The sequence below is a fragment of the Homo sapiens genome, chromosome 17, assembly GCF_000001405.40.
Source record: "Homo sapiens chromosome 17, GRCh38.p14 Primary Assembly".
Classification (NCBI taxonomy): domain Eukaryota; kingdom Metazoa; phylum Chordata; class Mammalia; order Primates; family Hominidae; genus Homo; species Homo sapiens.
In genome coordinates this window covers 68456132-68482073 of record NC_000017.11, presented here as the reverse complement: position 1 = coordinate 68482073, position 25942 = coordinate 68456132, and the positions used below count along the sequence as shown (strand labels likewise).

General features: G+C 43.6%; 2 protein-coding genes across 5 annotated transcripts in view, besides 4 other annotated features; one reads left to right on the top strand and one right to left on the bottom strand.

The window, feature by feature from the left end:
- Positions 1-25942, bottom strand: part of PRKAR1A (protein kinase cAMP-dependent type I regulatory subunit alpha) — a 137694-nt gene that overhangs the window by 69243 nt on the left and 42509 nt on the right. The window lies entirely within an intron of this gene.
- Positions 15737-15786: a silencer, noted in NCBI's record as "silent region_8902". NCBI's record gives its function as "represses an Ori minimal core promoter by ATAC-STARR-seq in GM12878 lymphoblastoid cells {active_cell/tissue: GM12878}" and the evidence as "EXISTENCE:reporter gene assay evidence [ECO:0000049][PMID:35858748]".
- Positions 24136-24422: a silencer, noted in NCBI's record as "fragment chr17:66453793-66454079 (GRCh37/hg19 assembly coordinates)". NCBI's record gives its function as "represses an EF-1alpha promoter that drives an FKBP-Casp9 reporter gene in an ReSE screen in HepG2 liver carcinoma cells {active_cell/tissue: HepG2}" and the evidence as "EXISTENCE:reporter gene assay evidence [ECO:0000049][PMID:32094911]".
- Positions 24136-24838: a biological region, named in NCBI's record as "ReSE screen-validated silencer GRCh37_chr17:66453793-66454079".
- Positions 24159-24838: a silencer, noted in NCBI's record as "silent region_8901". NCBI's record gives its function as "represses an Ori minimal core promoter by ATAC-STARR-seq in GM12878 lymphoblastoid cells {active_cell/tissue: GM12878}" and the evidence as "EXISTENCE:reporter gene assay evidence [ECO:0000049][PMID:35858748]".
- WIPI1 (WD repeat domain, phosphoinositide interacting 1) overlaps positions 24578-25942 on the top strand; it is a 36216-nt gene continuing 34851 nt past the window's right edge. For all 4 annotated transcript variants that reach the window (NR_135471.2, NR_135470.2, NM_001320772.2 and 1 more), the window contains exon 1: positions 24578-24732. Coding sequence is in view for 1 of the 4 variants with exons in the window: in NM_017983.7 (NP_060453.3) it covers positions 24653-24732 (80 nt within the window). In the remaining 3 variants the exon portion in view is untranslated. The remainder of the gene's footprint in view (positions 24733-25942) is intronic.

The window sequence follows — 25942 nt, the reverse complement described above, 5'->3', positions numbered from 1 at the left end:
CATCCCCCACTGGAACACACAGCACTTGCCACACAGTCAGGACCCATCTCCTAGTCTGTCTCTGGTTCCACCCACTGGATTATAAACTCCTTAAAGGTAGGGCATTTCTTCCACTTTGTGCCCTGGCACCTAGCGCATTGCCTAGCACGTACCAAGCAAGCACTCGACACACATATGTCTCCTTTTCCGTAATCAACAAATCTCGGTTTAAGTTCCATCCATCCGAGAAGTGTTCCTTGTCAACTCAAGCTTCCACTGGCTTTGACATGGTCTATTCAACTGTGTATATCCCCACTGACCAGCATACAATGGGTGCCTAAATAATATCACACGAAAAAAATGAATGAATGGCTGTATGAATAACTATCCCAGGGTTCCAGAAAGATGGAAGACTATGATAAAGAGAAAAATGTCTGGCTACCTGGAAATTCTAGATCAATTAATATAATGTTTTAATGCAGGGGTACCCAACCCTGGGCTACAGACCAGTACTGTGAGCTCTGCTCCTCTCAGATCAGCATGGGCATTAGATTATTATAGCAGCAAGAACCCTATTGTGAACTGTGCATGTGAGGGATCTAGGCTGTGTGCTTCTTATAAGAATCTAATGCCTGATGATCTGTCACTATCTCCCATCATCCCCAGATGGGACCGTCTAGTTGCAGGAAAACAAGCTTAGGGCTCCCACTGATTTTACATTATGGTAAGTTGTATAATTATTTCATTCTATATTACATGTAATAATAGTAGAAATAAAGTGCCCAATAAATGTAATGAGCTTGAATCATCCCAAAACCATCCCACTTTACCTTGGTTGATGGAAAAATTGTCTTCCACAAAACCAGTCCCTGGTGCCAAAAAGGTTGGGGACTGCGGTTTTAATGCGTAACTAAGCTTTCAAAGAGGAAAGGGAAACCTCAAGGGCCAAAAACATGCCACAGGCAAACAGGCAAAATAAAAAGCACAAACAAAAATGGCACTGAAAATACAACCACCCACAAGAGGGTGAGCTGTTGCTATAACTGGGTAGGGAGACACCTGACTGTTAGACCGATAAGCTACAGGCTTATATTTTCTTACCTATGTAGACATAGAGATGAAGCTGTGGACCTGCATGAGGTAGAGAATTGAATCTAAGATTCCTGAATAAAACTGAGGACTTTCAAGGTCTACTACCAAGTAAAAACGTAGAAAATTATCCAGTAGCTCAGGAAGATAAAAATCCTTGTGTTGGCTGGGCACGGTGGCTTGCACCTAGCATTTTGGGAGGCCAAGGCACACAGATTGCTTGAGTCCAGAAGTTCGAGACCAGCCTGGGGAACATAATGAATCCCCATCTCTACAAAAAAATTACAAAAATCAGCCAAGCCTCACGGCACATGCCTGTAGTCCCAGCTACTCAGGAGGCTGAGGCAGGAGGATCACTTGAGCCCAGGAGGTTGAGGCTGCAGTGAGCCATGATTGCACCACTGCACTCCAGTCTGGGCAACAGAATGAGACACTGTTTCAAAAAAAGTAAAAAAGCTTGTGTCATCTGAGTCTGGGTAAAATAGTTTTCCCCTGAGAAACTAAACCCCCTAGCCTGCATTTCCAGTGGGTTTGGATCTGAAATATATAGTAGCAGGGTTGTCTGGGAACCCCTGAACTGATAAATTAATGTTTAAAAATGTCCCGGGATAATGATATCCCTGGGGCACCTAACAGAAGAAACAAAAACCTCCCTGGAAGGTCCTTCCCATAACTCAGGCCACAGGGATTCTCATAAATAGCACTACCCAGAAGATGAGTTCGCAATAGAATATTAATGCTCAAAACTTTAAATTATAAAACAGTCCAAAAATACTTTCAATCAAGTATGTTTACATAATCGAAGACATTAAAGAAAGAATCTAAGGGGAAAACCCTAGGATTTAAAAGAACTGCTATATTTTTTTCAAGGATCAAATAACTTCTAGAAATGAAACATGAGATTGATAAGCTTTGGCTGTGTCCTCACCCAAATCTCATCTTGAGTTGTAGTTTCCATATTCCCCACATGCTGTGGGAGGGACCTGGTGGGAGGTAATTGAATCCTGGGGGTGGTCACCCTTATGCTGTTCTCATGATAGTGAGTGAGTTCTCACAAGACCTGGTGCTTTTATAAGGGGCATTTCCCCCTCTGCTCAGCAATTCTCTCTCCTGCTGCCATGTGAAGAAGGACGTGTTTTCTTCCCCTTCTACCATGATTGAAAGTTTCCTGAGGCCTTCCCAGCCATGTGGAACTGTGGGTAAATTAAACTTCTTTGCTTTATAAATTACCCAGTCTTGGGTATTTCTTCATAACAGTGTGAGAATGGACTAATATAGGAATCACTGAAATTAAAATCTCAGTAGACTAGTTAAACAGGATGTTAAATGCAGAAAAATAGAAAATGTGTAAATTTGAAGAAAAGACTGATAAAATTACATGGAATACAGCACAGAAAAATAAAAACTGGAAAATAGGAAAGTTAAGAGTCATAGAGGATGAAGTACATTTTTAAAAATAACATATTCTCAATGAAAACCCCAGAGATGATGAGGAAGAAGTATCTGAAACATGATGGCTGATAGCATCCAAAACTGATGAAAACTATAGATGTGAGCATCGGAAAACATGCCAGTTCCCATTCAGAATACATAAATCCAAACCCAAAAAATAGCAAAGCAAAATTGCAAAATCACCAAATACAAAAAGAAAATGTAGAAAGCAACAAGAGGAAAAAGAGATTATGTCATCTGTACCTAAAATGGAACAGCAATTCAATCCACAGCTGACCTCACAGTACGAAGATGAAGGAATAAAACACAAGAAATAAAAACAAAAGAAAATATTAAGACTGTGAATAAACCTAAACAAGTTTTTACTGGATAAAAATAATAGCTGTAATTACCAATGTGAAAAGTATAAGAACAATGTAGAAACTAAAATACTGGACAAAAAGAGAATGTGGATAACTATAGTTAAAGCATTCTAAGTTTTTTCCCTACAGTAAATCTACATGGAGAAATGGATTAAGACTGCCTAGGCTGGGCGCGGTGGCTTATGCCTGTAATCCCAGCACTTTGGGAGGCCAAGGTGGGCGGATGGCCTGAGGTTGGGAGTTCGAGACCAGCCTGACCAACATGGTGAAACCCCGTCTCTACTAAAAATACAAAAATTAGCCAGACATGGTGGCGTGTGCCTGTAATCCCAGCTACTCGGGAGGCTGAGGCAGAAGAATTGCTTGAATCCGGGAGGCGGAGGTTGCAGTGAGCCGAGATCGTGCCACTGTGCTCTAGCCTGGGCTACAGAGCGAGAGTCTGTCTCAAAAAAAAAAAACAAAACTGTCCAACATATACATACTAAAACCATAGGGTTTAACACACCTAGGCCTAGTATTATGAAAGTTCTGAACATTGAATATAAAATATAGACACATTCAGATACACACACACACACACACATATTTCTAAATGGTCATAACAAAAGAACAATAATCAGATCGCAATACAAACTTTCATCAACACAGTGGATGTTAGAATGCAATCTGATATTGCCTTCGATGTGTTGAGAGAAAAATGGGTTTTTTGGTTTGTTTTTTGTTGTTGTTGTTGTTGTTTTTGAGACGAAGTCTCACTCTGTCGCCAGGCTGAAGTGCAGTGGTGTGATCTCAGCTCACTGCAACCTCCGCCTCTCAGGTTCAAGTGATTCCCCTGTCTGAGCCTCTCGAGTAGCTGGGACTACAGGCGCACGCCACCATGCCCAGCTAATTTTTTGTATTTTAGTAGAGACAAGGTTTCACCATGTTGGCCAGGATAGTCTCGATCTCCTGACCTCATGATCCACCCCCCTCGGCCCCCCAAAGTGCTGGGAATACAGGCATGAGCCACCACACCCGGCCAAGAAAAATGTTTTTAAACAAAATATTACATTCCAAGCCAAAATATCAAAGAACATGTGAAAACATAATAGATATTTTGGGGCATTAAAGGACTCATAAAGTTGTGTCTCAAGTACAGTTTGTTAAAGCTTACTTGAAAATATAATCCAGGCCAGGCACAGCGGCCATCCTCTGTAATCCCAGCACTTTGGGAGGCTGAGGCAGGCGGATCACCTGAGTTCAGGAGTTTGCGACCAGCTCGGCCAACATGGTGAAACCCCGTCTCTCCTAAAAATACAGAAATTAGCTGGGTGTAGTGGCGTGTTCCTGTAAGTCCAGCTACTTGGGAGGCTGAGGTGGGAGAATCGCTTGAACCCGGGAGGTGGAGGTTGCAGTGAGCCGAGATGGCACCACTGCACTCCAGCCTAGTCGACAAAAGTGAAACTCCATCTCAAATAACATAAATAAAAATGGAAGATATACCAAAAAAAAAAACAAGAATAAAATTGTATTTGAAGCATTAGATCGAACATAGGAGAAAAAATGAAGGGAAGTAACTGAAAATCATCTGCGTAGAAAACCAGAAAGCACTGAATCTGAATTTGACCAGATGGGTTGAATAATATGGAAATAAGTACACACGGGGAAAAAAGATATCTGTCAACTCTGTCAACTTGCTGGGCTGATAAGAGTTTGGAAAAAGATCTGGAGTAGCATTAAACTGGAGAATTCACTTGAACCCAACACTTGAAACATTCTCCAGACTATGACATTAAGATTGTAAAACTGAATATTTACTGGTGCAACTGCAGTCTCATAGTGAGTCTTGGCTCTGAAGTGAATAAAATTTACATGATAATGATGAATTAATGGCAGAAAATGTAAAAGCAGAGATACAGCAGAGAAAAGAAAAGAATTAAATGAATTAGAAGTGATGGAGGGAAGGATGAGTGTTCTGATATCCTCTCATTGTCAACCAGATTTGATGCATGACGAATAAAGGAATAAAGGTTTATGATCATTACTGTCATATGCAAAGATGATTGTTGTGGATTTATAAAATTACTATATGACTGAAGAAGAGAGTGTTTGGGACTTCTCTATTGTACCAAGACAATGAAAGTCCTTGTCTAAAAATTTGTAAATGAATAAATAGCAAAAGCCATATTATTTTGATATACTGCAGAATTCAGAATTTGGGAGAACAAAACAGACATTAAAAGTAGAAATCTCGGCCGAGCACGGTGGCTCACGCCTGTAATCCCAACACTTTGGGAGGCCGAGGTGAGCGGATCACAAGATCAAGAGATCGAGACCACCCTGCCAACATGGTGAAACCCCATCCCTACTAAAAATACAAAAATTAGCTGGGCATGGTGGCACACACCTGTAGTCCCAGCTACTCAGGAGGCTGAGGCAGGAGAATCGCTTGAACCCAGGAGGCAGAGGTTGCAGTGAGCCGAGATTGCCTCCAGCCTAGGTGACAGAGCGAGACTCCATCTAAGAAAGAAAGAAAGAGAGAAAGAGAGAGAGAGAGGGAGGGATGGAGGGAGGGAGAGAGGGAAGGATGGAGGGAAGGAAGGAGAAGAAGAAAAGGAGAGAAAATGAGAGAGACGGACAGACAAATTCCAGAAGGACTGGTAAGAAGCTGGTAACAGTGGTTGCCCCGGGAGGAAAGCTGAGTGGCCACAGCCCAGAGAAGGGGTCAAACACTTTTCACTACATGCCTTTCAGTACTTGTAAATTTTGAACAATGTGCATATATTATCTATTTCTAAAAATATCTCTTTTAATAAAGAAAGGGGGAAAATGGAGACCTCCACTTCCTGCAACATGACAGGCTAGATAACCTGAGATCCTTCTGCCTTCAAATACCTGGTAAAGGCAAATAGAATATGACAACTTCTAGCCATAGTGAGAGTTTTTAACATACCATCTCCTAGTATTGGTTCAATCACACAACCCAAACATAAGCAAGGTGGTAAAAGCTTTGAACAATATAATGTAAAAGCTTGACCTAGTAGATTATAGTAGATTATAAATATTATAGTAGATTATAAATATTATATTATAGTAGACAGAGCTAGGCACTCAACAATTAGTGCATTAACATTATTTGTAAACACTATAGGGCAATTGCCAAAATTGACCAGGCCATAGGCATCAAAACATATTAAACTACACAGAAGGCATCAACAAAACATAATAACCCCCCCAAAAAATCAACATCACATTGCCATATTCTCTGCAAAATTTGAAATCAACTTTAAAGAGAACAACAATAACAAAAAACTTAATATTTTAGAAATTTTAAAATATTCTACATATATATGCATAAAAATATATGTATCAAAGAAGTGGCTATAATGAAAATCAGAAAATGTTTAGACCTGAGATACAACGAAAAGTCTGTGTATCAAAATGGCTAGGATGGGCTGGGCGCGGTGGCTCACAACTGTAATCCCAACACTGCCCCGCGTGGGGCAGATTGCCTAAAGGTCAGGAGTTTGAGACCAGCCTGGCCAACGTGGCAAAACCCCGTCTCTACTAAAAATACAAAAATTAGCCAGGCGTGGTGGCACACGCCTGTAGTCCCAGCTACTCAGGAGGCTGAGGCACGAGAATCGCTTGAACCCAGAAGGTGGAGGTTGCAGTGAGATGAAATTGTGCCACTGCACTCCAACCTGGGCAACAGAACAAGACTCTGTCTCAAAAAATAATAATGAATAAAAACAAAATAAAATGGCTAGGATGAAGCTATACAGCAGGACTTAGAGAGGAATTGTTTCATGTTATACTCATCCTGCTGTTGCTTGCTTTCTTTGTTCAGTATTATGCTTTACACAAGGGGTTGTATTGACATATGAAGATTTAATTCACCCATTTAACTACAATGTAGAAACAAGGGCACAGGTGTCCTGCCTGATGCCAAGGAAATTCTTTCCATGTTTCCACAACAAGTATAATATTCGCTAGAAGTTTTTGGTAGATTTTTTTTATTAGGTTAAGGAAGTTCCCTTTTATTCCCAGCTGGCTGAGAATTTTTATCAGGAATGGATTTGAAACATATCAATCCACTAAGAGATCTGTTGAGAGGGTTATATTTTCCCTCTTTATCGATTTATATGCTAAAAGTGCATTAAATGTATTCATTGATTTTCAGATGTTGAGCTATTCTTTCATTACAAAAATAAATCCAACTTAGATTTTAGAACTTAAAAAGACATTACATTTTTTTTAAAATTTACTTAAGTTAGCAAATAGGAAAACTTGGGCATTTTGATTGTGATTTATTTATCTTTATTTATTTTTTTGAGATAGATCTTGCTGTGTTGCCAGGCTGGAGTGCAGTGGCGCGATCTCGGCTCACTGCAACCTCCACTCCTGGGTTCAAGCGATTTTCATGAGTAGCTGGGACTACAGGCGCCCGCCACCACGCCCAGCTAATTTTTTGTATTTTTAGTAGGCACGGAGTTTCACCGTGTTTACCAGGATGGTCTCGATCTCCTGACCTCGTTATCCGCCCGCCTCGGCCTCCCAAAGTGTTGGGATTACAGGTGTGAGCCACTGCTCCCGCCCTATTTATTTATTTTTGATAAGCTGATTGAGAAATCCTTGTAGAGAGCCGCCTGACACGGTGCACTGCTGACCACTCGTCACGGGATCAGCCCAAGGCCGCGCTGCCTTCCTGTTGCCAGACTTCTCACTATGTGTGACATCAGACAACCGGAGATCAAGCGGGCCCCCGGGGCACTGCTGTACAAGTCACTCAAGCCTCAAACACCTCCTGTACACGCCTGGGGAGTCCAACGCAGAAAGTAACCTTCTGTCAGCATCCTTTTTATTTGTTAGGAAGCACACTTCACCTTTTTAAAAACAGCAGAAATGACAGCTGACTCCCTACCTTTCCAAAAACTTAGCCCCAGGGAAAAGCAGAGTTGATGTGACTAAATGCTCTAAATTTGGAAATGTTTAGGCTTAACATTTTTCAGCTGAATTGAAGATACCTAAACTATATATAGCTATGTATAATACACATGAATATAGAAATATATTTGGTGGTTTTTAGAAAGATTAGCAAGAATGAAAACAGTATCAATGATCAACTGAGTATGAAGATCTTATGTTAACATGCATTTTTTTCTTCAAGAGTTCCTTTTCTTGTTAACAAGTTTTTAAATCAAAAAACGAATACATGCACATGTTTAAAAAGCCAAACAATGGCAAATTATACCAATAAAGAATAAGTTCTCTCCCATCCCATTCTCCCAGTTTCCAAGGTTTTAGGGAATGAGAAGAGACTTGGAAATCACCGTTTCCAGTTTCTCTCCATCTTTCCAGAAATCAACAATCCATATAAAATAGATAGGTTGGCCAGATGCGGTGGTTCACGCCTGTAATCCCAGCACTTTGGGAGGCCGAGGTGGGCGGATCACAAAGTCAGGAATTCGAGACCAGCCTGGCCAATATGGTTAAACCCCGTCTCTAGTAAAAGTACAAAAAATAGCCAGGCATGGTGGCGCACGCCTGTAGTCCGAGCTACTTGGGAGGCTGAAGCAGGAGAATTGCTTGAACCCGGGAGGCAGAGGTTGCAGTGAGCTGAGATCGTGCCACTGCACTCCAGCCTGGGCGACAGAGTGAGACTCTGTCTCAAATAAATAAATAAATAAATAAATAATAAAATAGGTCAATTGATTTACCAAATCAACTGTTTTCAGATAGATCTGTAGCTAGATCAGTAGTTTTATCTTTTCACACTAATCAGTTCTATGTGAGTCTGAATTTAAGTGTATTTATTTATTTATTTAATTTCTGGAGCGTTGAGGTCTCACTATGTTGCACAGGCTGGTCTCCAACTCCTGGGCTCAACTGATCCTCCCACTCAACCTCCCATAGTGTTGGGATTACAGGTGTGAAGAGCCATTGTGCCCAGACTTAATTTTAGTTTAAATGTAAGTGTGTACAATGACATTCTAATATTTCCTCTGTCACCTCCTGTAACTTGTGGAGGCTGTAGCAAGAGCCAAAAGTTGCATCTACAGAATAATTTTTCTCATTATTAAAAATTATTTGTGATCCAGCATTTGCCAAGAGAGGCTGATATCACTTTCAATTATATCAATTAAAAATGAAGTTGCTGAAAGTATGTCGATGACCTAGTGAATGAATTTGCAGAAAAGTGAGCAGAAAAATCTAATGATCAATCAAATACCACATTAACAATTTATTATTTATTACTTTTTTTTTTGAGACAGAGTATCACTCTGTCACCCAGGCTGTTGTACAGTGGCATGATCTTGGCTCACTGCAACCTCCGCCTCCCGGGTTGAAGTGATTCTCGTGCCTCAGCCTCTGGGTAACTGGAATTACAGTGGCATGCCACCACGCCCAGCTAATTTTTGTATTTTTAGTACAGACAGGATTTCACTATGTTGGCCAGGCTGGTCTCAAACTCCTGGCCTCAAGGGATCTGCCCACCTCGGCCTCCCAAAGTGCTGGGATTACAGGCATGAGCTACTGCACCCAGCCATTACATAAAATGATGACACGAAAATGTTAACTTTTTTGCAACTTGTAAGTTAAGTGTGATGCTCACGCATCACTCTTTTCCCTATTACATTTTATTTAGAAATAAAATATTTTTAAAGAAAAGCTTTATGTTTTAGTGTCTTTAACAGCAGTTTCTCCTGTTTTTTGGACAGGAAACCCTACGTTTCCATTTTGCACTGGGGTCTGCAAGTTAAGTCACTGGCCCTGATTGGAAACTTGGTAGTGCAGTGAAGACTCACACGCCCGGAGCAGGAAAGTTCCTGGGAGTTCCACCTGTGTCCCCCAGAACATGGAGGGGTGAGGAAATGGTAGTGTGGGGAGGACTTCTCCACCCATGGCAAGGTGAGGGTCTGAGAGCTTCGAGAGTCATAGAGGCTGGGGGAGTTAGCAAGGCTGGAGCCATCCTGAATGGCCTTACTTGCCACCTGCCTGGGCCACAGAAGAAAGGGGTTGTGTGGGTGGGGCACTGGGGAAGGAGCTGAGCACAAGAAGACAGCTGAACCACACCTCCTCACTCCTATTAGAAACTAGGCAGTGCAGGCTGGGCGCGGTGGCTCAGGCCTGTCATACCAGCACATTGGGAGGCCCAGGCGGGCGGATTGCTTGAGGCCAGGAGTTCAAGACCAGTCTGGCCAACATGGTAAAACCCCCGTCTCTACTAAAAATACAAAAACATTAGCCAGGCGTGGTGGCGGGTGCCTGTAATCCCAGCTACTCGGGAGGCTGAGGCAGGAGAATGGCTTGAACCTGGGAGGCAGAGTTTGCAGTGAGCCGAGATCGCGCCACTGCACTCCAGCCTGGGCAACAAAGCAAGACTCTGTCTAAAAAAAAAAGAAAAGAAACTAGGCCATTCAGAAGGTCTCACGGGAGTCCTCTGAATAACCCCACAAGTGGGGGGCCTCTGAGACAGTCAGGCATTTGCAGACATTTGGAGAGCTCCCCTAGTAGAAAAGCATTAGGCAAGAAAGTACTACAGGGACATCCCTGGCGAAGACCTCCCCCCTCTCCCAGTAATCCCCTCTCATGGCCCCAACTCAGGCAGAGAGAGAGACGGAACGGAAAGGAGGAGGTGGGAAAAGAATAGAGGGGCTTAGCCATTTTGAATTGGCTGTGAGAGTGATGTTTTGATGTTACACATGGCTGGATGGTTCTGCTCTCTGAAAAGTTAGGGTTTCTGTCCATACCACACATCAAGGTCTATGTCTGGGGGAGGAGGAGATTATGGTTACAGAAAAATAAGCTGCCTCCTGCTTGTCCCTCTACTGAATTCACAAAAGCAACCAGTTACCAGTGCATATTCATATATACATTTTAAATACAAATGACAGCATACTGTAGAACTTGAGCCACCTTATTTTTTCCCATCTTAGAGATAGTTCTATTTCAGTACCAATAGAGCTGCTTTGTTCTTTTTAATGACTGCATAGTATTGCATCCACAAGTGTGTCGCAATTAATGCAACCACCCTGTCCCCTACTGATGGACATTTAGTTGTCTTTCAGTTTTCTGCTGTGGGTGTATTACTTTTCAAATCTGGGGGAAAAAATGCATTGAATTTTTAAATTTACACATCACTAGAAGAAAAAAAGGAGTTAGTTTTTTTATTCATTTATACAAAACAATAAGGCTAATGTGTACAGTGAACTCTTCATTGTTTCTGAGTTTTTCCCTCCCATTTTGTGGTAATCTAGAATTTGATGGTCAAAAAGGCCATGCTTTTGGAAGAAAAGAGATTTGGGGGTGGCAGTCACCTCTCTATTACTTATTAGCTTGGCAATCTTTCATACATTATTTTGGTTTTCTGAGCCTCCATTTCTTTGTCTATGAAATGAAGCTGATAATTCCTGCCTGGAAATGTTGATATAATAATAGAGATAATCTTTGGAAAATATAGAGCACACAGTGCATGCTTCACAAAGGCACATGTTTTTATTGTTTTTTTGTTTGTATGTGGATGTGTCTGTATAAAAGCAACGAATTATTAACCTTTGGTTTGTTTTTCCATCACCCCTTCCTCACTATGTATCTTGGCCACCTTTGGCAGATTTGAGGAATGCAAATGTATTTTAATATTAAGCTAAGCAAAGGATATCGAAGAGAAAAGTAGTGTTTAAAGATAATGTAGTTCAAAGACAAAGAAAAATATTCCTCTCCACTAATATCAATCTTTGGTTCTCAATGTGCTTCAGCAATCCCTGGGTTTACCCAAGACTCTCTTGGGGCATCTATGAAGTCAAAACTATTTACAAAATAATCTAAGATGGGCCGGGCACGGTGGCTCATGCTTGTAATCCCAGCACTTTGGGAGGCCAAGGCGGGTGGATCACGCAGTCAGGAGTTTCAGACCAGCCTGACCAATGTGGTGAAACCCTGCCTCTACTAAAAATACAAAAATTAGTCAGGTGCGGTGGCACGCTCCTGTAATCCCAGCTATTAGGAGGCTGAAGCAGGAGAATCACTTGAACCTGGGAGATGGAGGTTGCAGTGAGCCGAGGTCACGCAACTGCACTCCAGCCTGAGTGACAGAGTGAGACTCTGTCTCAAAAAAAAAAAAAAAATCTAAGATGTTATTCGCCTTTTTTACTCACATTCTCTCACAAGTGCACAGAGGGGTTTTTCAAAGGCTACATGATGTTGTGATATGATACGTTGAATACAGAAGCAGATATAAGAATTCAGCTGTCTTCTATTATACCAGACATGAAAGAGATATGCAAAAACAAAAAACGATGCCTCTGTTCTCCCTGTGTTTTGTATGTTTGGGGGTATAAAAAATAATATTAATGTTAACATATAATGGGTTTATTATTACTTTAATGCATTAATAAATATTTTAAATTCTCAGTTTTAATTTCTATTTCACTAAGTAATGATAGATATAATCCATACAAACAAAAGCTCTTTGGGGTCCTTAATAATTTTTAAGAGTGTAAAGAGCATCCAAAAGCTTGAGAGCCACTAATACAGTTAATTGGCATTTGTCAATAATGCTAGTTAAATCAGGACAACATCCTTACTCAAGAGAGGGAAAAAAAAAAAGGACATTCATGATGGAAAGTTTTGTATGATATTTAAGCAACTGATTCTGTAAGTCAGTCAGCCAACAAACATTTCATGAGCACCTATACATGGGGGCATTGCTCTAGGTGCTAGGAGAAGACAGGAGACCCCATCCTCATGGAACTTTGTTTTAGATGGAGGAGGCAGATAGTAAACATGTAAACCAAGAAATCAACAAGATAATTTCAGTTTTGATAACTGTTTTGGGAGAAATACACAGGCTAATGTGATTAAAAGAAAAAAAAGCTCCTGGGGGTAGAAGAAATTGAGCTATGTGGTTGTGGGAAATTTTACACTTCAAAAGGACTTAACAATCTATACTATGTTCATGGATTGGAAGAACAGGAGAGAAAAAAAAAAGCAGCCTACCTTGAAAATAGACAGTGCCTAAAATGGTGCAAAATGAGTGATTCCTGTTTTGGTGTGGGATAAATCTCTTTTTTTAAAAAAATGACTCTCTCAATTTTCCCTGGGAGTCACTGAAGCAGGACTCTTTCAACTGCTCAGGAGAAAGAGATCCCATCAGGAATGCCAGCGGAAGTGGGTGTTGATGTTCCCTGGGATGAAAGTCAGAGGCATATGGAGCATTCCAGAGTATAAGGTCAGACAAGGGTCACCTATAGATAGAGGCTGACTTAAGCCCCCATCTGTGGAACAGATCCCTGGAGAGGAAGTGGAGAGAGAAGAGCTGAGAGCCTAGGAATGGGCCACTTTAAATATTTTGAGATATGTCTTGTCTGCTTGATGTTTTTCCTAACAGCATGTAAATAGTCTCTGGAACTGACCTTTCATGAAAAATTAGAAACCCACCAAAGGACATTTCTAACCTCAGAGAAATAATGAAAGGTCCAATCTGTACCCTCTTTAGATATTCAGCAGTGAAAACATTCAGTCATGTTTTTGGAAAGCAAGCCAGCTTTTTATTCCTCGTGCGTATTTGCAATCAATAAGGAAAATAGGAGATCATGGACATAATAGGTACCAAAATAAACTGGTGCATTCAGCTTTAGCCAATGAGCATTTGCCAGTTCACATTTCCATTTATAACAGAGGTTCTCACTCATCAGCAATGTGTGGTTTAGAGCTGCTGCAGCCGACTCAGCTCACAAGCTAGCCTCTTTTCTGATAGTGTTCCTAAAATTAAAGGAATACTCAAAACGTCAAACCAGGACATTTCGTTCCAGTTCTTTACCAACTGACACATTTTCCATTACAGCCTGCCTCCTCTCACAGCTTCAGCTACTACATCTTCCCCCAATGACTCCTAGATCTCTCTCCCAATCTCACATATCTACCCTTAGCCCCAGATGCAGATATCAAATACCTCCTAGACATGCCCTCTTTGATGTCACACAGGGTTTTCCTTACAGCCAAAGGGACCAAAGTTTCTGGTCCTCAGTGTTTATTTTTCTGTATCATCTGCATGATTGGCCCCACTCTCCATCCTAACAAGGACCTCCATCACAGCCTGGGTGACATGGCAAAACATCATCTCTCTAAAAAAAATGTATATCTATAAATTAGTTGGGCATGGTAGTATGTGCCTGTGGTCCCAGCTACTTGTGGAGGCTGAGGTGGGAGGGTCAGTTGAGCCTGGGAAGTCAATGCTGCAGTGAGCCATGATGGCACCACTGCACTCCAGCCTGGGTGACAGAGCAAGATCGTGTCTCCAAAACAAATGAACAAACAAAAACAAACAAACAACAACAACAACAACCCCTGCATAATAGAGATCCCCGGCCGAAGCTAAGCAGCTAAGTTTGGAAGCAATCATATCCCAGTGTACCTAAAGAGCTGGTGGTATATCAAGAGATTTTAGCTAGGAGAATGAAAGATAAGATTGGAAAGAACAGGCCAGGAAGGAAAGCCTGGGATCTGCTTCAGATATCGAGTTCTTGAACTCCCATTTGAGCTTCATAAAGAGAGAGCTCTGTGTTGAAACTTATTGTCCAGGTGTCAAGAGTGTGACCCAGAATGAGCACAGGGATCTTGAGAGTACAGTAGGGCTTTGACTCAGTGAGAATGCTGGGGCATCGAGCACTGGTTAGATGTCCCAAGGGTTTGCAGTTTGCAGGCATCTCATAAAACTTTAGTGTTCATGACACCCACAAGGATGGCTATAGTAATTCGGAAAACAAAAACAAAAAAACAGAAAATAACAAGTGTTGGCAAGGATATGGAGAAACTGGAGTCCCTGTATGCTGCTATAGGAATGTAAAATGGTTCAGCTGCTATGAAAAACAGTTTTGCAGTTCCTCAAAAAGTTAAACATAGAATTACCAGGTGACCCAGCAATTCCACTCCTAGGAGTTCAGAGTGTTCTCAAGAGAATTGAAAACACGTACCAAATAAGTACATGTATGCACATGTTCATGATATTCACAATAGCCAAAAGATGGGAACAACCCAAATGTCCCTCAGCTGATAAATGTATAAAATTGTGATATGCGTATTCAAAGGAATACTATTCAGCCATAAAAAGAAATGAAATACCGACACATGCTACAACGTGGATGAACCTTGAAAACATTCTGCTAAGTGAAAGCCAGACACAAAGGGCCACGTATTGTGTGATTCCATTTATATGAGATATCCAGAATAGATAAATCCATAGAAACAGAAAGCTGACTGGTCATTGCCAAGGGCTTGGGGAGGAGGGATGGGTAGTAGCTGTTTAAGGGGTACAGGGTTTTCTTTCGGAGTGATGGAAATGTTTTGGAACCAGATAACGGAGGTGGATGCACAACCTTGTGAACGCACTAGATGTCACCGCGTTGTTCACTTAAAAATGGTTAACTGTATGTAAATTTCACTTCAATAAAAAATTACTCAATATAATTCTCCACATTAACATAAGATAGGAGAAAACATGGTTGGGCACGGTGACTCACGATTGTAATCTCAGCACTTTGGGAGGCCAAGGGGGGTGGATCACTTGAGGCCAGGAGATAGAGAGAAGCCTGGTCAACATGGCAAAACCCTGTCTCTACTAAAAATATAGAAATGAGCCAGGTGTGGTGGCAGGTGTCTGTAGTCCCAGCTACTCGGGAGGCCGAGGCACTAGAATCGCTTGAACCTGGGAGGCAGAAATTGCAGGGAGCCGAGATCGCACCACTGCACTCCAGCCTGGGTGACAGAGTGAGACTCTGTCTCAAAAAAAAAAAAAAAAAAAAGAGAGAGAAAACATAAATAACATTTCAATACAAGCAGAAAGGGTGTGTACTGGTGGGAAGAAACACTTCAGTGTTGTTACAGTGGACTCCAGCAGGTGGCAGCAATTAGGCATCAATCACAAGGGCCTTCATCAGCAGAAACAAAAATCCCTATGGGCAAAGCCTAAAAGGGCAGGTCCCCGCACGTGCGAGGCATTTCCGGGGACTCCCAGTAATTAATAGGAAAGGCTTTGGAGGGAGCTGTATGTTCTATAAAAGGTAGAGGAAGAAGCCGGTGAAATTTGGGTAAGTGATAACACAGGCCCATTTGCACGACAGGCCCATTTGCACGCAGAAGTCAGTAAGGTCAGGGGAAACCCAAGTTACACTGACAACCAATCTCCATGCTGACCTGCCTCTCCCAGTTCCCTCATGTAATAGGCCACTGAGTCCTATACATTCTACCTCCACCCACAGCAAGCACCTAAGTTCCAGTGTCTGACTTGAATTGACATACCAGCCTCTCACCTGGTCTCTGCCCCCATCACTCGCCCCTCTCCGACATCCTCTACTGCTGCTGTAGGGAGCTTTCTAAGATGCAAGTCTGCTTTTGTGAATCACCATTGCCTATACACTCATCACAGCTCAAGAAAGCTGAGACAGGCCGGGCGCGATGGCTCATGCCTGTAATCCCAGCACTTTGAGAGGCCCAGGCGGGTGGATCACCTGAGGTCAGGAGTTCGAGACCAGCCTGGCCAACATGGTGAAACCCCGTCTCTACAAAAAAAAAAAAAAAAAAAAAAAATTGCTGGGCGTGGTCGCGCACCGCACGTCTGTAATCCCAACTACTCCAGAGGTTGAGGCAAGAGAATTGCTTGAACCCCGGAGGCGGAGGTTGCAGTGAGCTGAGGTCACACCACTGCTCTCCAGCCTGGGCAACAGAGTGAGACTCCATCTAAAAAATAATAATAATAATAGAAAGCTGAGACAATGTGCTTTGTTTTGCCCAGAAACAATCTGGTCTGTCTCCAGACATCTGTGCATTGCCCAAGAAAGTCCAAGGAGGCTCCCAGCAGAAGGGAAGCGTATTAAACCCTCATCAAGCCAAGAGATCCCATAGTACAAATGTTCAGCCAAAAATGTTAGCAGCAGAAGGGACCAGATAGACAAGGAGTAACTTATAAAAATAACCCGGCCGGGGCCGGGCGCGGTGGCTCACGCCTGTAATCCCAGTACTTTGGAAGGCCGAGGCGGGCAGATCACGAGGTCAGGTGATGGAGACCATCCTGGCTAACACAGTGAAACCCCGTATCTACTGAAAATACAAAAAAAAAAAAATTAGCCGGGCGTGGTGGCGGGCGCCTGTAGTCCCAGCTACTCAGGAAGCTGAGGCAGGAGAATGGTGTGAACCTGGGAGGTGGAGCTTGCAGTGAGCGGAGATCACGCCACTGCACTCCAGCCTGGGCAACAGAGCAAGACTCCGTCTAAAAAAAAAAAAAACCCACACTTCCTCACCCTTTTCATTCTTAAAATGCTGTTTTTGATTGGTATACAAGACAGTTTTGGGGGGATGCAATGTCTTTAGACTCAGAATTTCATAATAGGAAGTGATCATTTTGTCCAGCTGTTCTTACACCTCGTTCTATGAAACGCTGGGCTCTGATAACACCTACAGGTAAAGTATAAGAGGAATAAACCTTTTCAATGTTAGGTGTTTTTTTTGTTTTTTTTGTTTTTTTTTTTGAGACAGAGTCTCGCTTTGTCGCCCAGGCAGGAGTACAGTGTGCGGCGGCACGATCTCGGCTCACTGCAACCTCCACCTCCCGGGTTCAAGCGATTCTCCTGCCTCAGCCTCCCAAGTAACTGGGACTACAGGCACGTGCCACCACACCCAGCTAATTTTTGTATTTTTAGTAGAGACGGGGTTTCACCGTGTTGGCCAGGCTGGTCTCGAACTCCTGACCTCACGATCCATCCGCCTCGGCAATGTCAGTTTTATTAACTTCCTGCAGCAAGAGGGTGTGCACATCAAGTGAACCATGAGGCATCTCAGTAAGAGGCTGTGGGAAAGGGCTTTTTGCCAGGTTTGTGTTAAGTTATGCTAGGAAGGGAAAGGTAGAAGAAACAGGAATCAGGTCAGGAATGGATGTGTTGTGAAGCAGGTGGTTTCATCATCGGATATCTCAGAAATTTTTGTTCAGCAAGTGGAGAAATCGAGTGGGTCTGGGAGAGGCTTTGATAAGAAAGGATTAGATATGCCAATGTCAGTAATTTTGCAGCTACAGTGTGGCCTTGGGTTAAACACAGTTTTCACCTGGCCTTGTGCTGGCCTTGTTTATGACTGTTGGGAACATTCCAGTCTGCTCATCTGAGCTGATTTCCATTTTCTCAGGTTCCCACATGAAGTAGTGGGTGTTCCTGGAAGAAAGGGAATCTATCTTTAAATAAGCTTGGAAAGTACTTGGGAAACAATGTTAAATAAACATAATGCTGGGCTTTCTGGAGACTTGAACGTGCTAAAGTGAATTGTGAATCTCCCAAGACACCTTCAATTTCTTTTCAACACAGCTGTCTGTGTCGAATTCCAGTGTAAGTCAGAACTTCCAGTGATTTCTCAGGTCACTCTGACCTCTTTGCCTGTAGTTCTCCCCACTCTTCTCCCCACTCCAGCGGCCCTGCCTCCTCGCTGCTCTTTGAGCTTTTTCCCATATGACTGCATAACCTGCTCCCTTTTCTTCCTGAGGTCTTGTTCAAATGGAAATTTTCAGTGGGGCCTTCCCTGCCCACCCTATGCAAAATTTCTCCTCCCTACACCCCACACTCCCAAACACACTTTCACTGCTATACATTTCTTAGCACTTATCACCATCTAAGATACTATACATCTCATTTTTCTTGTTAATGGTCTCTCTGCCCAGGTGGGCAGGGGTTTTTATTTATTTTGGACAGCGTCATATCCCTAGAACCTGGAGCCATGACCGGCACACAACAGGCACATGATAAAAATTGGTCAAATGAATGAATGGATGAATGAATGAATATACAAACTCCTTCCAAACTTCTCCTCCTTCAGAGGAAGTGGTGAGGGAGGCTTCTGTGTTTTCCATTTATAGACAGTAAAGAGGTTTTGGAAAAATACACAAGGGAGCCTCAGAGACTTTCTTTTGGGGCTTTAGGACTGGCTACCCATATCTTATCACTCAAGCCAGTTTTTCCTGAGGTGTCCCCCCAACCATCCTAGAACTAAATCATACAGACCACTAGATGGCACTGTTCACCAAGAATCTCGGGATTCTTAGCCACGCCCCTCTCACCCTAAGCCCAAAGCCTTTGAATCCACCTTCTTCCCAGGGGTGACTGATTCTAGAGAATGATTACCACTCCCTGCACCACCGCTAGACTAGAAAGAAACCTAAAGTCGTACAGCACGTTCCAACAAGCCATGCCCAGCCAGGAGCACAGGCTAACTCTCTGCTTGGGAGCAAAGGACGTTTTTGAATATTTCTAGATGTACCCTTGGTAAATGTAGGCAAAGTGCTGGTGCCCTTTGAAGAGCTGCAGGACTCCACACTCTCCCCCTTGTACTTGGCCCGTGGCCCTCTTGGCACAATTCTGCCTCTATCTCTTCACCCCTTGCTCCTCTGTCCCTTCATAGGATGAAGCACAGGTTAAGATGCCAATTCTATTTCCAGCCTTGAGCCAAAGCAGTCCAAGAGACAGCGTGACAGGCAACCTGGGCACCCAGTGGAAGGGACAGAATACAAACTACACCTGCATCAAAAACTGTCCTAGGGCCTTTGGCAACTTACTCGACAGTCTCCACTTTGGCATATGCAGCTGCCTGATGGGGATAAACATTCCTAGACCAGATAGATGTGGTTAGCGTCACATGAGAAGATCTATGACGCTCCAAACCAAGCTTTCTATAAAGCTTGGTCTTCTATTTTCAAGTATCGCCTATAATTATATTCTAAAATTTAAGGCAGGGTGATTGGCTGACCTGCTGAACCCGTCTCTGTGTTCTTGACCAGTGCGAAGATGCCTCGGTGAACAAAAACACCTTGATTGAACCTCTCTGCACTGGCATGGGTAACAGACTCTCAGCTCCAAGGACATTAGCAAAAGCACTTGTAGAAAGCAACTGTCTTCGTGATCATCAGCCAATCAGCAAGCATTTATTGAGAACCTGTAATTCACCTTGGTGTTTTAGGAAGGCTATTCTGGAGGCAAAAATAAGACAGGTGAGGGGAGAGAATGAAGATTAAGACATCAATTCACTCTTTCATGAAATAACATTTTTCCTGACTCTTGGGAAGGAATATATAAGTCAAGGAATATTAGAAGTGTTGTTAGTTTTTGCTCCCTGTCTCTCCCCTTTTAATCAATAAATCCAGAAATAATGGTTCCATTTGGGGGACAAGGGCACATGATAGGGCCTCTTCATTCACTGCAGCCATGCTATCTCACACACACTGTCTATAATTAGAAACAGAAAACCCAGTTGCACCTGCTGCTCGGCCAGACTTCTGGCTGGGGCTTCCTGCTTGCCAATCAGTTCGATCATCTCCTTTCCCAGAAATCACCCCACAGCCCAACCCCTCCTCTTCTACCCTGGCACCATAGGGCTGACTCCTTGAGCTTCCTCCACGTACTGACACATCGCCCTTCCCTCCCTCTCCCTCTTGGCTCCATTGTCCCAGGGCCCTTCCTCCTTTACCCTTTCTCAAAGGGCTACCATACACTGGTCCATTAGAGTTCAACTCGTTCTCAGTTCATGTTCTGAGTGTTGCCCCATAGCAGAAAAGAGAAAGGAGATTATTTCCTGTAACTTGATTTTATAAAAATAGAATGGACTTTATAAAAAGAAGAATAGGACAGGAGTGGTGTTTGTTCACCTAGTAGTTACTTTAATTGTAGATGGTTGGGTGCCATGAATGACCATATGGGGTGACAGGAGTGTTGCATCAGACAGGATGTCTCATTTCCACCTTCCCCTGTGAATGCCCTGTGCATGCCCTAATCAGCATTTTAAAATTACAACCTGATTGTTATACAAATAAGAAGTCTCTCCATTAGATGAACTGTGGCCTGCAATTTTGTATTACCAAACATGTTTTTAATTCCCAGAGCCCAGCTTTATTTTCCCAGATTTTGCTGACTGGTAAGTAACTTACTAGTTACTTACGAGTAAGTTTTCCTAGAAATAATGGAGTTTTTTGTTTGTTTGTTTGTTTTGTTTTTCAGGGAAAAGATAGACATTTAGGAATTTCAGTTGAAAGAAAGAGAAAGGCCAAAATCTTATTCCCACTGGAACAAAGCATTGTCCCCTGCCCCACCTACCCCATTATCTTTTGCTGATGTTATTTAGTAGTGAAATTGCTGTTGCAAGAACTTGTAAGACTTAGGTTGCCCATAAGCCCAACATTCAAATCAAGAGTGTCCTCTCCCACAGAACCCAGAACTAGAATGTTAAAAAAGAAAAACCAGCCTGACATTAAATGGATTCAGCACCTCTTAAGTTATTTATAACCTTGCCCTTGGCTTTTTATATGAATGGACTTCTGGGAAATTTTTTGAGGGTGGAGCTCTTCAAAGTGGCTGCTTACACCTCTAACAGAAATCACAAACCAGCCCTCCACAAACCACATCCAGCTAGCTGATGTATTTAGTTTAGCTTATGAGGTACTTTTTGAAAATAAGAATTAGTTTTCATCATTTTTTAAATTTACCTACAAATACAGGTTTTTAATAAAATAGGCACAGATTTATATAAAAATACAGACTTACATATTGTCTTGGGAAAAATGAAATCAGATGAGGCAGCCCTGAGATGTTATTTCCACATGGCTGGTGCCATAATGGACCATTAGCCTGGAAAGAAACATATAAGGGGGACCATTCACAGGAAAGGCTGAGGCTGGGAAGGTGACCATTTTTCTCCCGTGGCCATAGCTCTAGATCCAAACCTTGATTCCAGTAAGCATGCAGTTCTGCTGCTGATTTAAAGTGTCTGAAATGAAATACAACTTCCTGAATACCTGACTGAAGATCTAGTTTCTAAAAGCAACCCAATGGGCTTCCCCTTCCCAACCATGAAATCAGCTTTGACTCTTCCCTCTTCTTCCCTGCCCCTCCCCCTTCCCCATCAGTTGCCATGCCTGTCATTTAGTCCCTCAAGACTCTACTGAGAATAAAGTAGCCACCAGCTACATGAACACTTAAAATGTGGCTCATGTGAACTGAGATATGGTGTAAGTGAAAAATACACACCGGATATTCAATATTTAGTTCTAAAAAAAAATTAAAATCTGAGGCCAGGCGTGGTGGCTCACGCCTGTAATCCCAGCACTTTGGGAGGCTGAGGCAGGTGGATCATGAGGTCAGGAGTGTGAGACCAGCCTGACCAACATGGTGAAATCCCGTCTGTATTAAAAATACAAAAATTAGCTGGGCATGGTGGCGGGGGCCTGAAGTCCCAGCTGCTTGGGAGGCTGAGGCAGGAGAATCGCTTGAACCCGGGATGGAGAGGTTGCAGTGAGCCTGGTGACAGAGCAAGACTCTGTCTCAAAAAAAAAAAAAATTAAAACCTGAATTAACTGATTAGTAACTTTATATTGATTATCTTTATATTGAAATGATATTTTTGACACATTGGATTAAATAAATGATATTATTCCAATTAATTTGCCTATTTCTACCTTTTTAAATGTATCTTCTAGAAAACTGAAATTTACAATGTGGAGTTCACATTTGGGGCTCATTTTATCTACTGGACAGCAATGCCTGAAAACAACTCTATGATTTGGTCTAATTTTCTGGCCTTGTTTTCATCACTTTAGCCTAGTCTCTCCTGTCCCTTTACTTCCAGAATTTCACATTAGTCCCCTAAAGACTTCTAGATCTTTTCCCACTTCTAATTTGTTCTGCACACCCTGGCCAAGTTTATCTGACAAAGACACTGCTTTTTTATCATGAAACACTCCTGCTCAAAAACTAACACCAGCTCCCAGGTCTATCCCATAAAGTCCAAACTCTTAATAACAAACTGATAATAACAGCTTACACTTTAAAAACTTTATGGTACACTTCATGTAATTCTCCAAACAACGTAGCACCTAGCATGCCAGATTCTAGGTTTTCTAACCAGGACAGAAATGACTGCAGCATTTGACAGAGCTGGAAGGTGGGGGGAAGCACCTTTGATCTGAAAGGTTACAAAAATGGCACAAAGTATCTAAACAGCAGTTCCATTCACTTCTGATAGTTTATACAACACCTCACAATCAGCCAAAGAGCAATAACATCTGTGAATCTATGAGCTGAACTATTTTTTACATCAGTGGAGAGAAAAAAATAATAAAGTTGAGAAAAGAAACTGTTACATTTGCATCTCAGAAAACACAAACCGGAAATCCAACCAGAAAGGTTTAGGTGAAATAGTGCCCTTTGTTCATCTATTGTAGGTCCAAGGTTAAATATATATATATATACACATACATAAAAGTAGCTTTGTCATAAACTGGGTATTAAAAGTGGGAAATGGGGAAAACCGCAATTACTTTTGCACCAACCTAATAAATTTGAATTATGCTGATTTGAGAGACTGTCATATAACAATAACTAAAATATCATCTCAAAATTTGAAAAAATGAATTAAAAATCCATCAGCAGTTATACAATCCAAAGCTGGCAGAGCTCCTGCTTCATAAACCGTATTGACAGTAATTCCGCATGGGAACATGTACAGTACTCAGCTTTTAAAAAGAGATTCTTTGTTAAGGTTTATCTCGAATTACGTGAGTTTTGAATTGTGCTATATCTTCAAGACGTTACCCCTTTCATAAACTACACTGCCCTACACACACTTTCATTTTTTTCAGCTGCGGATCGGATAGGTCTTGTTTAGATACTTTGTGCCATTTTTGTAACTTTTCAGATCAAAGGTGCTTCCCCCCACCTTCCAGCTCCGTCAAATGCTGCAGTCATTTCTGTCCTGGTTAGAAAACCTAGAATCTCGCATGCTAGGTGCTACGTTGTTTTTGCAAATTACTGTTTAGCAGTTATTTAGTGCACAGGTCTTGAAAGCAGACATGCAGACATTCTACCATTTACTGTTACTTTAGACAAATTGTTTAGCTTTGGAGCTTCAGTTGCCTCTTCTGTATATTGAGCACAATCGTATTTTCCACACAAGTTTTATAAGAATTCAAGATGACATACATAGTACGGCGCGCTTGGCAAGTAGTGAGGGTTCTCAACCGCTCGGCAATGGATAAGATAACTTGCTATCTCTCTGGCTGAGGCAGCCCCATTTCAGGAGCTTCTCTCAATGCGGCTTGAGGACTCGACAAAAGGGTGGGGCTTTGGAGTCTAACGCTCTCTGCTAAACTCTGTAAGTTTAATAGGCAGAGTTACACATGGCAAGGGGTCTGGGCGGGGTGGGAACTAGCGCGTCCTCCTGTCACCCTTGCGGCGGCCCCGACGCAGTTGCCGGACTGAAACCAGCAGATCTGGCCCCAGCCGCATTCCTTCTTCCCTCTCCCTCCCAGCTGGGCGGCTCCGGCAATGAAAACACCGCCACGTGGGCCTGCTGCCTTTGCGTCACGCGCCTTTGTCCAATGGAGAGCCGCGTTACGAAGCCAGGGGCGGGTCGCCAGCCGGGCGGGTCCGCCCACAGCTGCCACGGATTGGCCAAGGGGGGCGGTGCCCGCCAGCCGTGGCTTGGGCTCGTGGCCAATGGTGGCCGGAGGCAGGGGCCCCGCCCTATCAGGTGCTCTGGTCCTCGGGACCAGCTGGAGGGGCGAGAAGGGGCGGGGCGAAGCCGGGGACGCGGCGGGGACGGGGCGGGGTAGGGGCGGGGTGGGGACGGGGCGGGGTAGGGGCGGGGTGGGGACGGGGCGGGGTAGGGGCGGGGCAGGACCGGCGACCCGGCCCGTGGAGCCGGCGCGGGCGGGCTGCTGAGGTGGCTGTCGCCGGCTCCGAGCTGCGGCTTCCCGGGCCGAGCCCCCGATGGAGGCCGAGGCCGCGGACGCTCCCCCGGGCGGGGTTGAGTCGGCGCTCAGCTGCTTCTCTTTCAACCAGGACTGCACGTAAGCTGCGACTCGGCCCCTGCCAGGGAGGTGGGGGACAGAGTGTCAGGACCCAGGGGTGTCGTCCTGAGAGCAGCTTGTGGCTTCCGCCTCGAGGCGGCCTCGGCGGGAGGGCCGGTGTCTGCTTCGGACGCATTGGGATCTTGTTATCCCCGTACCCCTTCAGTGGGGTTTGCCGCACCCCCCACCCCACCCCACTCCCAGTGTCCTCCCAGAGCGACAAGGTTGGGCCAAGGGTGAAAGCAGGGAGTTCGCAAAGGGAGTGGTGGGGCTGCGGGGGCCACGGAATATGGGGGGAGCAGGGCGGTGGGAAAGCCAGTGACCAAAGTGGGTGTCTGGGGAAGAGAGACAGTGGCCAAAAGAAAGAGATGAGAAAGGAGAGGAAGTTGCAAGTTGACCCAGGACTCTGTAGTTGGGGCCCAGGAAGATGAGAGTACAGGAAAAACTTTCCCATTTGTCCTTGAGCATCTCAACGTGGCATCTGGGCAGGGCCTCGGACAAAGAGGCAGCCTATCCCTGCGGCCAGGCCAGCCCCTGTCCCATCCCCGACGCAGGGCATCGTGCCTGCCCGCTCTGGATGGAAGAAACCTTTGGATTTCTTTGGCTGTTTTCACATCGCCCACCCAGCCAGGCAGGATCTCCTTCTCGGAGTCCAAGACTCTTTTCCCGGGCGCAGACTGCTTTCTCTCCAGGAAACAGGAGCTCCACCCTGTTGTTTTTGAGTGGATTTTTAATGTTTTACTTCGATGTTCACATTTGGGCTTTGAGAGGGAGCTGGGCTGAAGTGTGTTTCAGGCATCTGCAGGATTCTGTGACTTACAGGCAAACGCCTGTTTCTTTCCCTATTTTCATGGAAGCGAGCCCTGGGGACCATATGGAATCATCTTTTTGGAATGTGCACCCTGAGCATCAGGCGGGGATGACCGATTCCCAGTTTCCCACTTCCTGCTGTACCAGTTTCTGTGCCTTGGCTGCTGGTGACTGAGCTACGCTAATATTGATCCTTCAGTGGTGTAATTAAGGCCATTATGTACCATTAGCCACCCTGGCTTCCATTCCCTTTATGTTTCTGTTTAAAAACACCCGGTGCTGAACAATATGCCTTTGTTTGAAAAACCCATATGTGTAATCATGTAATCGAGTAGCTCTACAGCTTGGTTATTTGAGTGACTTTCAAGTTTTTCTTGACCACAATCCACAATACGAAATA